A 17,760-nucleotide genomic window follows, 5' to 3' on the forward strand; every position below is an offset into this window, starting at 1 on the left:
CTGTGGGCATGAAGCCTTCCTGGCTGCAAGTTATAAAATGTTTATTGATATACATTTTGTCTTTTATAAAACTTCCGTTGGCCACATTGGGCCACTGTGCACCACAGTGCCAGTCCCCAGGTGGCCAGGGCGGAGCCAGTGTCCACTTTCGGGTGGGGGCTGGAGCCAAGAGGCTGTCCAGGAGCTGCCCAGTGGGTCCTCATGGCCTGCGGGATACCTCAAGTGCTCCCGGAGGCAGCCTAGGACTGGCTCGTCCCGGAGTCAGAAAAGGCAGGTCAACTACCCAAGGCGGCCAAAGGCCCTTCCTGTCTCCAGAGCCTTGACATAACCAGAAATCCCCCCATCAAAGTCACCAAATGACTCGACGGGGGGAAGGGAGGTTGTTTGCAGAAAGACTTAGCTACAAGGCATGTGAACCAGAACTTTCTTCCAGACACCATTTCCTTCACATTTGCTCACTGATAATGCCTTAAGAGGATCGAATCTCTGGAACAGCCCTGAATGGCAGGGATGAGGCTGCTGGCCTGGTGCTGGCTGGGACACAGTCAAGGAGGGCTGACCCAAGAGGCAGAGGTGGCTAGGCTGGGTGTTGACCTCCTCTCTTTTACCAACCAGCCTAGGGCAAGGAGGGGCCCCACCACCTGGGGGCAACTTCTGTACAAGAGGTCTCTAGGGGAGCAGAATGGGTGGGGGAGCCGGGCAGGGGCCACAGGGTCTGTTTGCTGGTGGCTGCCCAGTCTCCCAGCCACCCCTGGAGTCCCCAGCCCAGGGAGAAGGAGGCCCGAGGAGAGGAAACAGATCTTTCTTCTCCTGTATGGACTCAGAAGCAGGTGCCCATTCCTGTCCCAAGGCGAAGGGTCTTGGAGGCCGCTTCCTGCCCCTGCCTCCTCCAGGCGCTGGAGTCTCAGGAGGCGTTCCCCGGGGGACACTGCATCTCCATGGTGACTGTGTTGGGCGTGCTGCCCCCGGCCTCCCCCAGCTCAGCGCCGTCCCGCAGGGCCCGCTGGAAGACCACCCTGAGCGGCTCCCACAGCCGCTGCGACTTGTCCCTCCCGGCCAGGAAGTAGACGATGGGCTTGGCGCTGCTGTTGATGCAGATGCACAGGTCAGTGACGTACTCGGGGAAGGGGGCCGGGATCTGGAAGACCCAGAAGAGGAACCAGTCGATCCCTAAGTAGATGGAGGACACCAGGAAGACGGAGACCATGGCCAGGATGACGTGGTTGAGCTTGGCAGAGCGCTGGCGCCGTCGGGCCCGGCACTCCACGTGCAGGATGAGGGCCAGGCAGGGCAGCACCATGAGCGGGCAGCAGAGCAGGAACAGGAGGATGCCCAGGAAGATGTCCATGTGCCTGCAGGCCGCGCCGGGGGCCCCGCGGCCCAGGAACACGCAGAAGTAGTTGTGCAGGCAGGTGACCAGGAGGGACAGGACCCACAGCAGGGCGCACACCACGGCCGACAGGCGCTTGGGCCGCCGGCGCCAGTACCAGGCGGGGAAGATGACCGAGGCGCAGCGCTCGGCGCTGACGGCCGGCAGGAGGCTCACGCCGGTAAGGAACATGCAGAGCCCCAGGACCCGGCACACGCTGCGGATGTAGTCGGCAAACGTGCCCAGGAAGCCCCCCGTGTTCAGGATGGAGAACACCGCCTTGCTGAAGAGGTAGCCCACATCGGCGCTGGCCAGGTGCAGGAAGTAGATGGAGAAGGGGTTCCTCTTGATGGAGAAGCCGAAAAACCAGAGGACCAGCCCGTTGCCCACCAGGCCACACAGGCAGAGGAGCAGGAAGATGTAGTTCATGACGGCCGGAGGCGGCAGCATCGCGATCTGCTCGATGGTCAGGAAGCCCCGGCTGTAGAGTTCCGGGGCCTCGCTCAGGCCAGGGCACATCTGCGCAGGTGCAGAGAGGGACACCTGTGATGCCGGCTGGCCCCCACCCACAGACCTGCATCTGGGGCCCAGCGTGGGGGAGGGGGGGGGTCCCAATTAGGGACTTGGGGCAGGGAGGGGGTCTGTAAGGCAGTGGCTGTGGAGCAGCTAACTGGCTGCAACTCTATCCTCAAACGCCCCTGACCTCACCTGATGTTAACTCTCCGTCCCAGCGTCTAGAGCTAGCAGCACACAATGGTGCCTATAGGAGTAGAGGTAGCACCAGACAGTGCCCAGGAAGGGTGCCAGGCTGCCCACCGGTCAGAGTAGACTGTCCAAAAAACGTCCAAGTCGCACAAAAAACTGCAGAGCCTTTCCCTTTTTTTTTTTTTTTTTTTTTGAGACAGAGTCTCACTCTGTCACCAGGCTGGAGCGTGCAGTGGCACGATCTCGGCTCACTGCAACCTCTGCCTCCCAGGTTCAAGCGATTCTCCTGCCTCAGCCTCCTGAGTAGCTGGGACTACGGGCACGCGGCACCATGCCCGGCTAATTTTTGTATTTTCAGTAGAGACGGGGCTTCGCCGTGTTGGCCAGGATGGTCTCGAACTCCTGACCTCAAGTGATCCACCTGCCTCCCAAAGTGCTGGGATTATAGACGTGAGTCACTGCGCCTGGCTGAGCCTTTCCATTTTTAAGAAGAGCAAAGAGACATGACTCCTAAACACAGTGTTAGAATCCTGGATTATACGCTGGATCTCAACAACTGCTGCAGAGGATATCGTTGGGACCACTGGGGAAATGTGAGTATGGACGATGCAGAGATAATGGCATTGCATCGGTGTTGCAGCTTTTGAATGTGACAATGTACTGTGGCTACGCACATTTTCACTATGTGGCTACGGGAACGTCCTTGTTCTTAGAAGATACAGGCTATTTGGGCATCAAGGGCTTGGTGTCTGCAATTTACTTTTGTTTGTTTGTTTGTTTTTGAGACAGAGTCTTGCTTTGTCAGGCTAGAGTGCAGTGGCCCGATCTTGGCTCACTACAGCCTCCGCCTCCCAGGTTCAAGCAATTCTCCTGCCTCAGGCTCCCGAGTAGCTGGGACTACAGGCACGCACCGCCATGCCTGACTAATTTTTGTATTTTTAGTAGAGATGGGGTTTCACCATGTTGGCCGGACTGGTCTCGATCTCTTGACCTCAGGTGATCCGCCCATCTTGGCCTCCCAAAGTGCTGGGATTAGAGGCGTGAGCCACCGCACCCAGCCTTGCAATTTACTTTCAAATCATTCTGGGAAAAAAAGCCTATCTGTCAAGAGATAGAGAGAAAGCACTTGTGGTGAAGGGTTAACGATGACTGAGCTGAGGTGAGGTATTGGCGGGCATTGTACTATTCTTGCAAAATCTTGCAATGTTTCAACAAACACGAAACTATTTGAAGAAATAAAATCACTTGTAAGTTACATTTAAAAAAAAACAACGAGTGGATCTCGGCCTTCCCCGGAGCTGGACCCTGTCCTCTAGTGGGATGGGAGGTGGCTTCCTGATGAGCCAGGGTTGCCCCTGGGGTTTCCAGATTGTGGGAAAGTCCAGGGGGTCCCTGGGGTGGAGGAGAGGCAGCAGCTATTTATCAAGCTGCAGGGAAGCATTTCAATACTTTAACTGTTGGTGTGGCTGTAAGAGTGCATCCCAGCTGAGTATCGGTCCTGCCCTCAGGGTCTAGGCTTGTGTATAAATGCATGCAGGTGGGCCAGGTGCAAGGAACAGGTGAGAGGGAGCACAGTGGCAAATCTGAGAGCCCCTCTCTTGAGCGAAGCGGGCAGCCTGCTGTGCTCCAGCTGGTGGGGGCCAGGGATTGGGTGCACTGGAGTGGCTGATCGTCCTCCCCCGCTCCCTGGAGAAGCCTGAACTCTAGACTGGAATGTGGAACACCCGATCTTTAAATGTTAACATTTAAACATGCTGTGCAGGCCAAACAACCCATCTATCTACAGGCTGGCTCAGCTCTCCGGCAGTCCTCTCCGACCTTTCCCCCCAGAGGCAAAGGCTGCCTGCCCGGAGAACAGTCACTCCTCTTCCCACATCCAGCATCTCCCCTCAAAGGCTGGTTTCTGTTCCCACTGCTCAGGGCTCCCTAACAAAACCAAAGGCAAGGTTATGAAGGCAGGATCCATTCTGCCACCTTCAGATGACTCCCAGCTCTGGCAGAAAGCTGGGTCCTGAGAGACTGTTCTCTGGGTTGGACACCCCGTTGCAAAGGGAGGGACCTCCTAGCCTGCTCAGGTCAAGGGGAATCTGAAAACAGGACTGAAGGTGTTGGCAAAACTCTGGGGAGACTCTGTGAGGTCAGGGCAAGCACTGTAAGGGGGCCCTGCTCCCTCCCTGCCATTCTCTAAATACATTTATAGGCTCAACCCCTGTCGGCTGGTCTGTTCGCCCCAAATCCCGCTCCTTAGCTTCTCTTTCCTGTGGGTGACCTGGACACTCTTCTGGGCTGGGGAACTAGACCGTAGGATCTGGTGCCCAAACAGGCCCAAGAGGACCAGCTCAGGTGCTGGGAAAGAGCTGGGCTTCAAGGGGCTGGATGGAGGCGGTCAGCTTACTCAGTGCCTCTTGTATGCATGCACGCTGGAAAAAGTCTGCAATCCCCTCCTTGGAGTCAGAGGGGGAGGCCGGGTGAGTCACTGGGCGTGTAGCTGCCGTGACCAGCCGCATACTGCCTTGTAGAATGCCTGCTCTGGAGCCCGGCCCCACCCTGGGCTCTGCCTTTGCGCTGGGAGTTTCTGCAGACTGCCTCACCCCACCTACCAGTCCAACCTCTGCCTCCTGCGGCCGCCACTCCACAGCGGTCACTACGGGGAAGAGGGAGAGGGCCCAAGGCCCAAGGGCGTGGGGGTGAGATCCCCAGGGCTGGGCTGGAGTTGCCACTCTGCTCCTGACCCAGGGGCTGATCCCAGTCAAGTTACTACCTGGGTGTAAGCCTCAGTTTCCTCAAATGCAGAAGAGGATGGATAGGAATTCAAGAGATCCTTCGAAGTTGAGAGCGAAGGAAATCCCAGAATTTTCAAGGGATTCAGAGAAGTAGGGGACTAGGTTGGCTGAGGGCAGGAGGAGGGTCAGCCTGGAGGGGTTGTCAGAGTCTCAGGGTGGGTGACTCATGACTAATGGACCCTGGCCTGGGGCAACACTCTCGGGGTGGCCCAGGACCCCCTAGGCTCCATGGAGCACATGACATCAGGGCCACCTTGGAGTCAGCGTCCCAGGGCTTCCTGGCCCGCCTGGCTGTAGTAAGTAGCTGACTGCCCCACCTCTGCAGGGAAGAGATGAAACAAGACCTTGCAAGGATGCTACAAGGCGACCACAGTGTCAGCACAGCGAGGGACCTTGAGGTCCAGTCCTGGTGCTTGCCTCACTGATGAGGACAGGAGGGTAGGAGGGTCCAGGGAACTTGTGCCCGGCCACATAGCCCAGAGGAGCCCACTGCCCACGGTGGGTCCAGAGCTGGAAAGTGGGGCCAGGAAGGGGGGGATGGGGGAGGAGATGCTGGGCTGGGTCTGCCCCTCCCACCCACACCCGTCTGGGCAAGACCAGGGCCCTCCGCCTGTGGCACTTACCTTGTTCCTGTTGCCGGGATGGGCCTCCCAGGAGCAGTTTCCAGCCATCTCCAGGCCTGGCGCGTCTGGGCCCCTGCTGGCAGCTCACCAGTCTGCACACCCACCTGGCAGAAGCCCAGAGAGAGGGTGGATGAGGACAGCAGGGACCCCTCCCCTTCCTGGACCCCCGTGCCTAGGCCCCCAAGGCCTGTGGCTCTCAGCCATCACCTTAGAGGAAAGGCAATCACCCCACACCCTCAGCAGCAGGGGCATTGTGGGACTGTCCTGGTGAGATTCTGGAGGTCACCCCTGGGGCACGGCCCCCTCCTGCCTGTGGACTCCGCGTCAGCCCCACCGCAGCTCACTGGAAAAGAAGCCCTCTCCTTTCCCTTTTCTTGTGAGAGTTCTGGAGCCAGGCTGCTTTTGCAGACATACATTTACTTCCCCACACACATTTTTGGGGCACTTCCTTTGTGCCCTGCCTGGTGTGGGGACAGGGGTTTCCCAGCAATCGGTCCCAGAAGGAGGAGCAGGGGAAGAGGGATCATTCCTGGCAGGGGGAACCTGCTGGAGGAGGAGGGCTTTGGCTGAGCCGCGGTTTGTAACATGCTAAGGCATCTGGCCTTTCCCCTACATGTGCCTGGGAGGCAGGACAGCCCGGTCATCAGCATCACTGTCACCACCACTTACCCTGCCAGCCCGCCTACACCCATCATCTGGTTTGGTCCTCATGACCAGCTATGGGCCAGGTATCCTCATGCCCCTTTGATGGGCGCTCCTGGGCTTAGAGGGTGAGGTCACCTGCCCAAAGGCACACCCATAGCCACACCATGCCCTGCAGCCTTGCAGATTTGTGTTTCGAGCAGCTGCCGTAGGGAGGGACTGCTGGCATAGAGAGGGGAAGCTGCACCCACCCTAGGGCTGCCAATGGGAGGCCTGGGGTAGGGGGTGACCCTGCTGGAGGCTGGTCCACCTTGGCCGGCCAGACCTCATGGGTCTGCCTGCCTTGGGTCCTCTGGAATTGATCCCGGTCCCCCAACCTGAGCTTCACCCCTTGGAGGAAGCTTCTCCCCGTGAAGCCCTGTGCCCCTTCCCCGCAGAGAAGCATCTATTATTATTCCCTGCTGTACTGGGGGGGTAAACTGAGGCTGTGAGCGGAGAAGGGCCTTGCTGGGCACAGCCCAGGTCGCAGGCTGCCGGGCCCCTCCTCTCCCAAGGGGAGAGCTGGGCATCCTGCTCAGCTCAACTCCCCGGAAATTCTTTCCTCTGCGCCGCGCGGGTCCGCCCGGCCTCAGCCAGCCACGTGCCCCCGCCCGCCGCGCACTCCTCCCGCCCGGGGGCGGGCCGTACTCCTGGCCTCCGCGCCCACCATTGGCTAGAAGAGGTGGCCGTCTGCGCGTGTGGCCCGCCCCCTCTTTAACCCTGGGCCTCCCGGAGCTGGTGGCGCAAGTGTGGCCCCAGGGGCCGCTCCCAGGACCCTTCCCACCCAGTGGCCTGGCTCCCCTCGGCCCCGCGCTGCCAGACCGCGCCGCTCTGCGCCTTCAAAGGGCGTTTGTGAGCACCTGTGCCTGGCCTACGGCTGACTCAGCCTGGGGTCTTCGGGGTGTCCCAGGGTGGGGGCACCTTGTGTGCCGGAGTGAGCCAGTGCATTGTGATGTGTGTGCAGTGGGCTTGCAGATGGCTGGTGCTGCGACCTGTATCTTAAGTCTCCCTCCTTGGACTCCAGTTGGGCCATTGTCCCGTTGCCACAGACAGGCCGTAACTTCTCCACGCTCTGGGGCCTGTCTGAGCTTTCCTGCCCTGCAACCCCAGACCTATCACCTGCCCTCATCCTTCCGGGCGCCTGGTAAGAGCCCCCCAAGCTCTCTCCATTGCCCCTACTCTTTTTGGTGGCCCTTCTGGACACCCACCACCCCTAGGTCTGGGCCCCCAGCCTTGTTTCCAGAGATGTCCTGACTCACAGGAGCCTCATCCATTCACCCTGGCCAGGCTAGACCCCAGCCACACCAACTAGTGCCCCAAAGGCAGTGGGCTGGGCTCCCCCCTACGCTGCAGGTGGGCATGCAGTGGGGGCCCCCAGCTCCCCTCTCTACCATCTGCGTCCCTCCATTATGTGGGTGTCCCTGTGCATTTGTCCTTGTCCTGCCAGGGACAACCTGAAAAGCGATTTCACGCATGCACAGAAAGATCTAGAAGCCAGCAGACCCCAGATGGGCCATATTAAAGGACATGTGTGTGACACGTGGATGGGGCGTGCGTGTCAGTACATGTGTATGTGTGTTCCTCTGGGTGGGATCTGGGCTGCTATGACAGAACTAGTTTCCACTGAAGCTGACCCAAAAAGCTGCCAGCACAGCTCACACCTGACCCTCCCCTCGGAGCAAGCCCAAGGGTGGCCTGGCCACCTGTCAGCCTCCTGCAGCCTTGCCCGCAGGAAGCTCCTCCTCTCCCTTCACTCCATCCCACCATGACCCAGCCCCGACGCCGCTGGGGCTGTCCCAGCCCCTCTCCTTAGCCGCTTGTGCCGCCATCAGAGGGGCCTGTCTCGCTCCCCCAGACACAGAGCCTCTGTTTTCCTCACTCCGGGTCTGGAGTCCCCTGCTTAACAGCTTGGATTGAAGAGGCTTGTCTGGGGGGACTGAGACCTTGCAGATCATTCCAGGAGCCGCCTCCATCCAAGGCCAACAGCTTCATCAGGCCGCAGGCCTGGGAGAAGGTGGGACTGCAGTTGCCCAACATCCTGTGGCTGCCCACACGGACACCCCATGTGCACCCCAGGGCTGAGAGCAGGGGGAGCCATCTCCCTGTGTGTGGGACACTGCCTGCTGGGTGTTCCGTTCCAGCCCCTCTAGAATGCATGCTTGAATGGCCAGTGAGGCTGGGGGAGGGACCGAGAGGGAGCCCTCACCCCCAGCAGCACAGAGCAGGAGCTGGACGGTGGGGCTGGGGGTGAGGCCAGCTGAGAGGGGTCAGGTCCTGCCACGGGAGGGGGACTTTTAAAGTTCCTCCATGGCCCTGGAACCCTGGAGCCTCAGGAGTGGCAGGGGAGCTTCTCCGGTGAGTGACAGCCTCTCTGGGGTCTCAGGGCTCCCTGCCTGGGGCCTTAGGATTTCTGGGAGCTGCCTGCCCCGACAGCGTCCACCTCTCTGCCCCTACAGTGCCCGCGTCATTTTCCTTCCCTGCCTGGCCCTCACCCTGCAGCCCCGGTTGTTGGAACACCCTCCCCTGGACCCTGGGCCCCTGGAGCTACCTGCAGCTGTCCTGATCCGCCGAGGCCTCCTTTTGTGGAGGGCTCTTCCTGTGACTCCCGCCTCCGGCCGGCGGACCCGCCGGGGCAGCAGGCCAGCGCCGAGCGCGGCCCGGAGCCTTGGAAAATAGGAGCTCAGAGTAGAGCCCTCTCCTGCTGGAAGAGATGGCTTTGGAAGCAGAACCCGCCCCAAACCCAATTCCTGGCCCGGCAGGAGGGGGAGGGGGAGGGGAGTAGGAGGAGGGGCTGAGCAGGGCTGAGCGGGGATGAGGCTTCAGGAAGGAATGCCCCGCTCAGGAGCCCCCCCCAGAGCCCCACCGGGAACTCATCTCTCCGCCTGGTGACGTCACGTTGGCCCGAGCACTGCAGCCCGAGTCCAGCTGTTCATCTCCCTCACATTCTGCTGCTCGGCAGGGCTGCCCAGGAGAGGGAGCACCGGCTGTACACTTGCCTGGCGTCTTTGGTCTGCCCCCAGTGGGCATTTCGGGGCAGGCTGGCCCAGGAGGGGCTAGTCCCCACCCCGTTGTTTTAATTTACTCAGGGGCTGATACAGAGCAGTGGGGGGCAGCAGGGCGAGGGCTCCATGGAGGGGCAGTGCAGAACTGGCAGAGGTGGTCAGCACCGCCCAAGCGGCACCCCTCCCCCTTCCCACCCCGGACTCGGCCTGGGCCCCCTGGGGGCTTATGGAACCAGGAATTCCCTTTTCCCCAGCCCTAATAGCAATCAGATGGCGCAAGTGGAAAATCACGGCGCTCGGCAAGCAAGCTGGAAATTGGCGGGCTGTGGTGCCTGGTGCCTGCGCTGCTCAGCGGGAGGATGAGTCAGGTCCCCCTTCCCCATTGAGCCCCTGGAGGCGGGCGGTGGGGGGGGGTCCTGGAACGCGTTCATGCCTGGGGCACTGAGCATTGGTAGGGGTGGGGGTGCAGAGTCGGGGGTGCGGGAGCCAGCAGGGTGGCCAGGAGGAGGGGGTGATGAGAAGGCTCCCCTCCTACCCTGGGCCAACTTTCTCAGGGTCCAGGAAGCCCGAGGGAATTCTGAACTTTCCCTGCAGGAGTGTAGTGCCCAGACTGGGAGAGATGTGCCTCTGTGGGCATCTTGAAGGGAAATGAGAAGCGGAGCTGCCCCTGCACCTGCGCTGGGAGCTGCCTGCCTCCTGCTTGTCCTGGCCATGTGCGAACCTCAGCGTGGAAGAGGGACTCTCGCACTGCTCCCTGCGCGGCTCAGCTGGCCTCCTGGGGTCCGTTTTTCAGGGATGGGGTGAGGAGGGACTCTGGGATCCTGGAGGCTCACGGGCCATGCCTGAGGCTGAGAGAGAGGCTGGAGGCAGCAGGCAGGGTGGTGACCCGTCCCCTCCTCTCCAGGGCAGCCAGCTGGGGCCCAGCTGGAACGCTTGTTTACATGGGGAGGCCGGGGGAGGCTGAATCCCGGCGAGTTCCAAGTGTAATTGCGTTTGGACACTTAAAAGGAATTGTGTGAAGTGGGCAGAGGCTCTGAAGTCCACCGCCTTATTTGGTATGGAAATCTGTTTCTCTCAAAATAAGCGAGAGGCGCTTGTAAACGGGAAGGTCGTCCTGGCCTGAGTTTGTGGAGTCCCCTTCCCGTGGGCTTGGTGTGTCCGGCTGCTCTGTTGCAGTACCGCAGACCAGGGGCTTATCGGAGCAGGCGTTTGTTTCCCATGGCTCCGGGGGCTGGAAGGCCAAGATCAAGGCCTCCACAGATTCAGCGTCTGGTGAGGACCCAGCCTCTCACTGAGTCCCCATGTGGTGACCCCTTTCAGGCAGGCGAAGGAGCTCAATGGGGCCTCTTTTACTCGGGCATTAATGCCATTATGAGGCCCCACCCTCATAACCTGCTCATCTCCCAAACACCCCACCTCACACAGGAGATTAGATGTCAACACATGAATTCAGGGCAGTGGGGCAGCAGGGCAGGGGGTGGGGCCACAAACATGCAGTCTGTAGCAGCCACCCTGGGGGTCTCTCCCCACCCCCTGGGGGAGTGGTGGGCTGTGTGTGTGGGGTGGTGCCCAGAGGCCCAGTGCAAGGAGTTCCTGTGCTGCCTCCAGGCTTGGGTGACCGTGGACAGTTTCCTTCCCACTGGGGACCTTGGTTTCCTCAGCTGTCAGATGGGAAAAGATAATGACCCACAGGGTTATAGCAAGGAGGGATTGGATGCCGGGAGGAGCCGGGAGAAAGAGCTCTTCATGCACCTCAGCAACGCCGCTCCCTGCTCCAGGTGTCCCGCTGGTGCCAGGCCCTCCCTGCAAGGCTCAGGGCTCTGGCTGATGCTGAGAATGGGGCATGGTCCCTGCTCGTCCAGCCTTCACTTTCTAAACAGCCACCACTTGCCGTCAGGAGTCCTCCCCTGCCCCTCCCAGTAGAACTTTGTTTTTAATCATCCCTTGCCAAGGGCCTCATGGTCCTACGCCTCTCCCCATGTCCCCTCCTGAGGGTGCAGGCCTGGACCCTCCTCTGTTGGGGGGATCCTTGGGGGAAGGAGGTCGGTTCTGGACAGAGATGTCTCCCTGCCAGGTGCTTCTGTGGCCTATGGTTGCCCTGCTGCTCCCTGGACGAGGGGGTGGGTGTGGACCAGCCCTCGTGGCCCCTCTGCAGCCAGCACCATCCTCAGTAAAGACTACAGGTATTTCCTGAGCACCTGCAGGGTGCCAGGCACTGTGCTCTGTGCTGATGAATAGGACAGGCAAGGTCCCTGCTCTCCGGGAGCTGATGTCCAACAGAGAGGCAGACCAGGTCAAAGGAAACACAGTAAAATGCACCTGCGATGAAGAAGGTGTGCAGGGCCATTCGGCTGGTGTGGTGGCTCACGCCTGTAATCCTAGCACTTTGGGAGGCTGAGGCAGGTGGATTGACTGAGCTCAGGCGTTCCAGACCAGCCTGGCCAACATCGTGAAACTCCATTTATACTAAAAATACAAAAAATTAGCTGGGCATGGTGGCACACACCTGTAGTCCCAGCTACTTGGGAGGCTGAGACATAAGAATCACTTGAACCCAGGAGGTGGAGGTTGCAGTGAGCTGAGATCACGCCACTGCAGCACCCCAGCCTGGGTGAGACAGCGAGACTCTGTCTAAAGAAAAAAGGTTGAACCAAGGCCTAGCTGTCTTTCCTAATAGTGAAAGGGACCCCTCTCCTTCTGCTCTGTTCCCCTCCTCCACTAGGCTGGGCCTTTCTGTGCTGGAAGGTGCATCTTGGGAATCTCAGCAAAAGTCCACATTATCCTCTGTCCTGCATGTGGTAGACCATTCATTTGTTAATTTGTCCATCTTTCCATCTATCCACTTACTCATCTACCCACTCAACTACCCATCTACTTGCTCATCCATCCATCCATCCATCCATCCTCCCATCCATCCATCCACCCACCAGACCATCCATCCATCCATCCATTCACCCACCAAACCATCTATCCATCCATCCATCCAAGTACAAGACCATCCATCCATCCATCCATCCATCCACCCACCAAACCATCCATCCATCCATCCATCCATCCACCCACCCACCAGACCGTCCATCCATCCATCTATCCATCCATCCATCCATCCATCCATCCATCCATCCATCCACCAAACCATCCATCCACCCACCAAACCATCTATCCATCCATCTATCCATCCATCCATCCATCCATCCATCCATCCATCCATCCATCCACCAAACCATCCATCCACCCACCCACCAGACCATCCATCCATCCATCTATCCATCCATCCATCCATCCATCCATCCATCCATCCATCCATCCACCAAACCATCCATCCATCCATCCATCCATCCATCCATCCATCATCCATCCATCCACCCACCCATCCATCCATCAATCCGTCTATCCATCCATTCATCTATCAATCCATCCATTCATCCATCTAGCCATCCACCCACCCACTCACCCATCCACCCATCCATTCATTCTTACCTTAATTCAACACATTTGTACTGAACACCAGCAATGTTGGTGCTAGGAAAAGAATTGTGGAAGAACCAGACATGGGGCATGGGGAGCAGGTGATAAATAGAAAAAACTGAACATAAGAACTCCAACCTGTGATTAGTGCATTGAGAAAACCAAACAGGCATAGTGACAGAAACTTAGGTGGTAGGCAGGGAGGGATGGGAGGTGAGCTGAATAATGGCCCCTAAAGATGTTGATGTCCTAATCCCCAGATCCTGAGAACATGTGACTTTGCACCTGGCCAAAGGGACTTTGCAGTTGGGATGGAGTGAAGGGTCTTGAGATGGGAGCATCATTGTGGATTATCCAGGTGGGCCCTATGTCATTGCAAGGGTCCTTGTAAGAAGGAGACAGGAGATCAGAATGAGTAGTGGGCCATGTGTTGATGTGAGGAAGGGGCCACCAGCCAAAGAATGCAGGCTGCCTCTAGAAACTGGAGAGGACAAGGAAACAAGCTGTCCCCTAGAGCCTCCAGAAGGAACCAGCCCTGCCAACACCTTGACTTTAGGCCTCTGATTTCTGGAACTCTTACTAGAATACGTTTGTGTTGTTTAAGCCACTAAGTTTGTGTCATTTGTTACAGAAGCCACAAGAAACTAATCCATGGGGATGGCCAGGCCTGATTAGCTGGGGTGGGGCTGGAGGCTCCTCTACAGAGATGATGCTTACACTGAGACCTGAAGGAGAAGGAGGAGGTGGCTGCTCACGCAACCCACAGGAAAGTGTTCCAGGATCAAGAACAGCAGGTGCAAAGGCCCCGTGATGGAAAGGATTGGTGCACTAGGAGAACAAAGTGGGTGGCTGCAGGGCAGGAGGGGAGGGTGCATGTGCAGGCTGGGCAGGAGGGTAGGGCCTTGAGGCACCCTACAGGCCCCTGTAAGTCCAGGCACAGAGCTGCTGCCTTGAGCCCTGAGGTCTGGACATTCCAGTTTCCCATCTTTCCAATGTGGGACTCTCTGCCTTTTCCAATTCCCCACTTCCCTGATGCCAGATACTGCCTGACTGTGTCCATCTCTCCCCCGTCCCCTGGGCCACCTCCCTGCTGAGACCCCTCACTGGTGCCTCCCAGGTGCATTCTCCTCGCTGCCCCCAGCAGAGTCCTTCCCACACACCCAGCTCCTCGGTGTGGTGCCTGCCCGTGGGTGGGTGGTGCACCCCACTGGCATCCCTCCTCTGCCCTGTCCACCTCAACTTCCAGGGCAGCCTGGACACCAGGTTTGGTCTACCTCGTCCACACCCGCCTGCTTCTGTCCCGCCTTAAGCGGATCCGTGATGTCCCGTCATTAGACCTTCAATTTCAGCACAGGACTGAATAACTAACCTTCAAAAAGTTTGCAGTAGCCTTGTCACTCCTAAAAATAACAAATAATTCCTTAAACATCATTCAACATCCAATCAGTGTTTGCACACTTTTTTTACAGCTCTGCATGTGTGTCACAAGCTAAACAAGGCCCGTGAGTGGATGTGCTTCTTTTTGGGGTTGGGGAGAGACGGTGTCTCACTCTGTTGCCCAGGCTGGATTGCAGTGGCAAGATCTTGGCTCATTGTGTCTCCCGGGTTCAAGCGATTCTTCTGCCTCAGACTCTTGAGTAGCTGGGACTACAGGCAGTGCCACCACGCCTGGCTAATATTTGTATTTTTAGTGGAGACGGGGTTTCACCATGTTGGTGAGGCTGGTCTCAAACTCTTGACCTCATGTGATCCCCCGACCTCGGCCTCTCAAAGTGCTGGGATTACAGGTGTGAGACACCGTGCCCTGCCTGATGTGCTCCTTTTAATGACAGGTTCCCCGCAGCATCTCCCTGTCCCTCTTCCTCAGTCTCTCTCCTTCCTGCCCTCCTCCTCCCCCGGCCCTGACTTGGGTCAAGAAACAGACACATCACACTATCAGGGAAATAGGGGTTCACACGTGGCGTGGGCAGGTCTGAGGCGTGCGAGTCTGGAAAGCTGTAGTCAGAGAATCAGAGGAACGCTCACTGGGACTTTGGCCAGCCCCTGTGTGGGTACTGGAGCTGGAAGAGCTTGGGAAGCTGCCCCGTGTGGCCGCCACAAGCCTGAAGGAAGAGCTCGTGGGGAGGTCTGTGAAGCCACTGCATCTGGGCGCCATGGCCTCCTGGGAATCACGGGTCCCAACTGACTCACCTTCCAAACCTCACCACGAGCCCTTCTCATTGAGAAACTCTGACCCAGCATCTGTCATGGAAGGGACTCGGGGAACAGTTTCCAGCCATAGGAGGAGGTCATGGGACTGAGAGGCCGTCCAGGTCCAGCACACTCCAACTGTCAATTTGCCATGCGGATACTCTTTTAACGAGACTTAACCTTTTAGTGGGGAGGTGCAAGGAGTTTATTTTAGGGGGTGACCCCAAGAAACATTACAGGGAAGGAAAAGAGTTCTGAGAATTCTCTCCCACTTTGCTTTGAGGGGTCCTGTCTTCAGCTTACCACTGCCCTTGCCTTCTCTGTGGATTATTATGGCAACAGACACTTGCAAACCCTAGGTAGGTCCTCAGCGAGGGTGGCTTGAGCAGCCAGAGACAGGCTGAGAGCAGCTGCCAGGATGGCTGTCGGACCCTCAGGGGCCTGGCGGGAAGCTCACTCCTGCTTTGGGGCAGCAAGAGAGAGGGAAACAGGAGTTGAAGTTGCACTGAACACTGAGGTCACGTGCGGGCTTTCCTTCTGGGCCTGCCACTGGTACGCAAACAAAACTCAAATATGTCTTCAAACCCAATCAAACTTCGTCACAGTTTCCCCTGAGACTGGTGCAAAACTAGTACAAAACTCTTGCTTTCTCAAGTCTGAGAGATCTGGGGTCTTCTGTTTGGGAGAGACCATGTTTCCTATAAACTTTTTATCAGAAGCAGCTATTTCCAGACAAAACTTCTGAATGTTCAGCCTCGAACGCATCTCTTGAATCTGGAATTTCCCCAAGGCTTGATTCCATGGGATGGCTGAACAGATAACACTGACTGGGGGATGGGTGTAGGTGTGTTGGTGTGTATATTTCAAGTCACTTTTGCTTCTTTAAAAATATTTAATTCCAGGAACATTTTTTAAAATTGTGATAAATTGTGCATAGTATGAAATTTATCTTTAGCAATTTATATATTTTTTTGTTTAGCTAGAGTCTAGTTCTGTTGCCCAGGCTGGAGTGCAGTGGCACGATCTCGGCTCACTGCAACTTCCGCCTCCCGGGTTCCAGTGTTTCTCCTGCCTCAGTCTCCTGTGGAGCCGGGATTACAGGCACGCACCACCGCACCCAGCTAATTTTTGTATTTTTAGTAGAGACAGGGGGTTTCACCATGTTGGCCAGGCTGGTCTCAAACTCCTGACCTCAGGTGATCCACCTGCCTCGGCCTCCCAAAGTGCTGGGATTACTGCGCCCGTCCCCATTTGTCCCTTGATCCATATCTGGGTCATGTCCATCTCTGTCCTTCCTAAGCCACACCTGCCTTGCACATTCTGTAACTTCAATGCTAGGTATAGGGCTGACAGCTATGAACACACATCAGATAGACTAGGAATGGGAGGGAGGGAAAGGAAAAAGAACTCAGTAATATATACCATGTACGCATACCGAAGCAGGGGTGAGAGCACAAGCAACCACCGCAAACCTTGTTCCCGTGATAAGGAACAGATAAGGCCTCTTTTCCCCAGCACGTTCCACGCTGCCTTTGCCCACCCGCCATTTCAGCTTGTCACTGTTCTTGGCCTGGTGGGGCGATCCAGGCCTTCATTTTTTTTTTTTTTTTTTTTGAGATGGAGTCTCACTCTGTCATACAGGCTGGAGTGCAGCGGCATGACCTTGGGTCACTGCAAGCTCCGCCTCCCAGGTTCAAGCGATTCTCCTGCCTTAGACTCCCGAGTAGCTGGAACTACAGGCATGTGCCACCACACCTGGCTGATTTTTTGTATTTTTAGTAGAGTAGGGTTTCACCGTGTTAGCCAGGATGCAGGCCTTCATTCTCGAAGGATCTGTGCCCTGGGTGGGGCTACCTCTTTTGCATTGCTGTAGTTTCCTGTGACTTTTTACCATGGGACACCAGAGTGCTATGGGATATGTCAGAGAATCTCCTGGATTCTAGGCATGGGTCTCCCATTTCCATCATAGCAACCCATGAGGGCCAGCCACCTCAGCCGGTGCCGTGACCCCCTCTGTGCTGGTGGGCTCAGGGGTTGATGGTTCAGAGCCTACACTTCATCCTGTGGTCCCACAACATGTCATCGTCTGCCATGAAAAGGTCATTCCTGTGTCCAAAAACTGCTCCTTGCTTAGGATGATGGGGAACTTGGCAAGACAGAGAATTCAGTGGGTACAAGCCAACGGGTCCATTGCATTTGTGAAAACTAAGCTTCTTGATCAGAAGCAATGCGTGGGGAATACACTAATGATCTGTAAGGTCCCATACGCCCATGGATGGTGGTTCTGGCAGAAGCACTGTAGGCAAGGAAGACAAATCCATATTCAAAACAAGTGATTGGACGGGTGCGGTGGCTCACGCCTGTAATCCCAGCACTTCGGAAGGCCAAGGCAGGCAGATCACAATGTCAGGAGTTTGAGACCAGCCTGACCAACATGATGAAACCCCGTCTCTACTAAAAATACAAAAAAGATTAGCCGGGCATGGTGGTGCGCTCCTGTAATCCCAGCTACCAGCCTGAGCGACAGAGCAAGACTTTGTCTCAAAAACAAAACAAAACAAAACAAAAAACCAAGTGATTATTCCAGGAAAAACAAATCTCTGCCCTTTCCAAGTGGAATCAGTCCAAGGAAATCAACCTGCCACGCACGAGGTGGCTGGCTGTCCCCTGGGAAATGATGTCCCATCATGGGCCTGTAGGATCTCAACAGTGATTGTAGATGGTCAGCCTTGGCCAGGGGAAGCTCACATGGCTGAGCTCATGGGAAACCAGGTGGCCAGAGAAACAGGCTGAGTGTCATCCTCGGAATAGGTCATCCGGTCCACCTGTTTAGTGAGAGCCGTCTCTGGGAGGCTGACCGTTGGCCAGTATTTACATGGGACACAAAGAGCTATCTGCCCCCCTTATGCCCATTAAAAGGGATTCGCCTTCATGCCTCT

General features: G+C 57.1%; 1 protein-coding gene and 1 long non-coding RNA gene across 5 annotated transcripts, besides 4 other annotated features; one reads left to right on the plus strand and one right to left on the minus strand.

Moving 5' to 3' along the window:
• On the minus strand, positions 25 to 9,260 carry MRGPRF (MAS related GPR family member F). 4 transcript variants are annotated; one of them, XM_024448339.2, is made up of 3 exons: positions 9,025 to 9,260; positions 5,481 to 5,584; positions 25 to 1,888 (listed from the first exon to the last, which is right to left on the minus strand). In XM_024448339.2, exons 2-3 carry the CDS (start codon positions 5,526 to 5,528, stop codon positions 905 to 907), a joined length of 1,032 nt encoding a protein of 343 aa, XP_024304107.1. In that variant the 5' UTR covers positions 5,529 to 5,584; positions 9,025 to 9,260; the 3' UTR covers positions 25 to 904. The 4 variants fall into 4 exon arrangements, with proteins under 4 accessions (XP_024304107.1, NP_659452.3, NP_001091985.1 ...); NM_145015.5 differs by lacking the exon at positions 9,025 to 9,260 and adding an exon at positions 8,710 to 8,873; NM_001098515.2 differs by lacking the exon at positions 9,025 to 9,260 and adding an exon at positions 8,710 to 8,873 and having other exon boundaries at positions 5,481 to 5,595.
• Positions 3,246 to 3,953: an enhancer, noted in NCBI's record as "H3K4me1 hESC enhancer chr11:68775087-68775794 (GRCh37/hg19 assembly coordinates)". NCBI's record gives its function as "activates a minimal SCP1, AML or CMV promoter by ChIP-STARR-seq in naive and primed H9 embryonic stem cells {active_cell/tissue: H9 hESC(naive and primed)}" and the evidence as "EXISTENCE:reporter gene assay evidence [ECO:0000049][PMID:30033119]".
• Positions 4,060 to 5,259: an enhancer, noted in NCBI's record as "CDK7 strongly-dependent group 2 enhancer chr11:68775901-68777100 (GRCh37/hg19 assembly coordinates)". NCBI's record gives its function as "activates an origin of replication core promoter dependent on BRD2, BRD4, P300/CBP, MED14 and CDK7 cofactors, with strong dependence on CDK7, by STARR-seq in HCT116 cells {active_cell/tissue: HCT116}" and the evidence as "EXISTENCE:reporter gene assay evidence [ECO:0000049][PMID:35650434]".
• Positions 4,060 to 5,365: a biological region, named in NCBI's record as "CDK7 strongly-dependent group 2 enhancer GRCh37_chr11:68775901-68777100".
• Positions 4,660 to 5,365: an enhancer, noted in NCBI's record as "H3K4me1 hESC enhancer chr11:68776501-68777206 (GRCh37/hg19 assembly coordinates)". NCBI's record gives its function as "activates a minimal SCP1, AML or CMV promoter by ChIP-STARR-seq in naive H9 embryonic stem cells {active_cell/tissue: H9 hESC(naive)}" and the evidence as "EXISTENCE:reporter gene assay evidence [ECO:0000049][PMID:30033119]".
• MRGPRF-AS1 (MRGPRF antisense RNA 1) lies at positions 7,981 to 14,074 on the plus strand. Its single transcript, NR_120541.1, has 6 exons — positions 7,981 to 8,175; positions 9,418 to 9,531; positions 9,758 to 9,943; positions 10,068 to 10,218; positions 11,238 to 11,346; positions 13,263 to 14,074. It is a non-coding gene; the product is annotated as an MRGPRF antisense RNA 1 (long non-coding RNA).
• The last annotated feature ends 3,686 nt before the right edge of the window (positions 14,075 to 17,760 follow it).

The sequence above is a fragment of the Homo sapiens genome, chromosome 11 (assembly GCF_000001405.40).
Source record: "Homo sapiens chromosome 11, GRCh38.p14 Primary Assembly".
NCBI classification, from domain to species: Eukaryota; Metazoa; Chordata; class Mammalia; order Primates; family Hominidae; genus Homo; species Homo sapiens.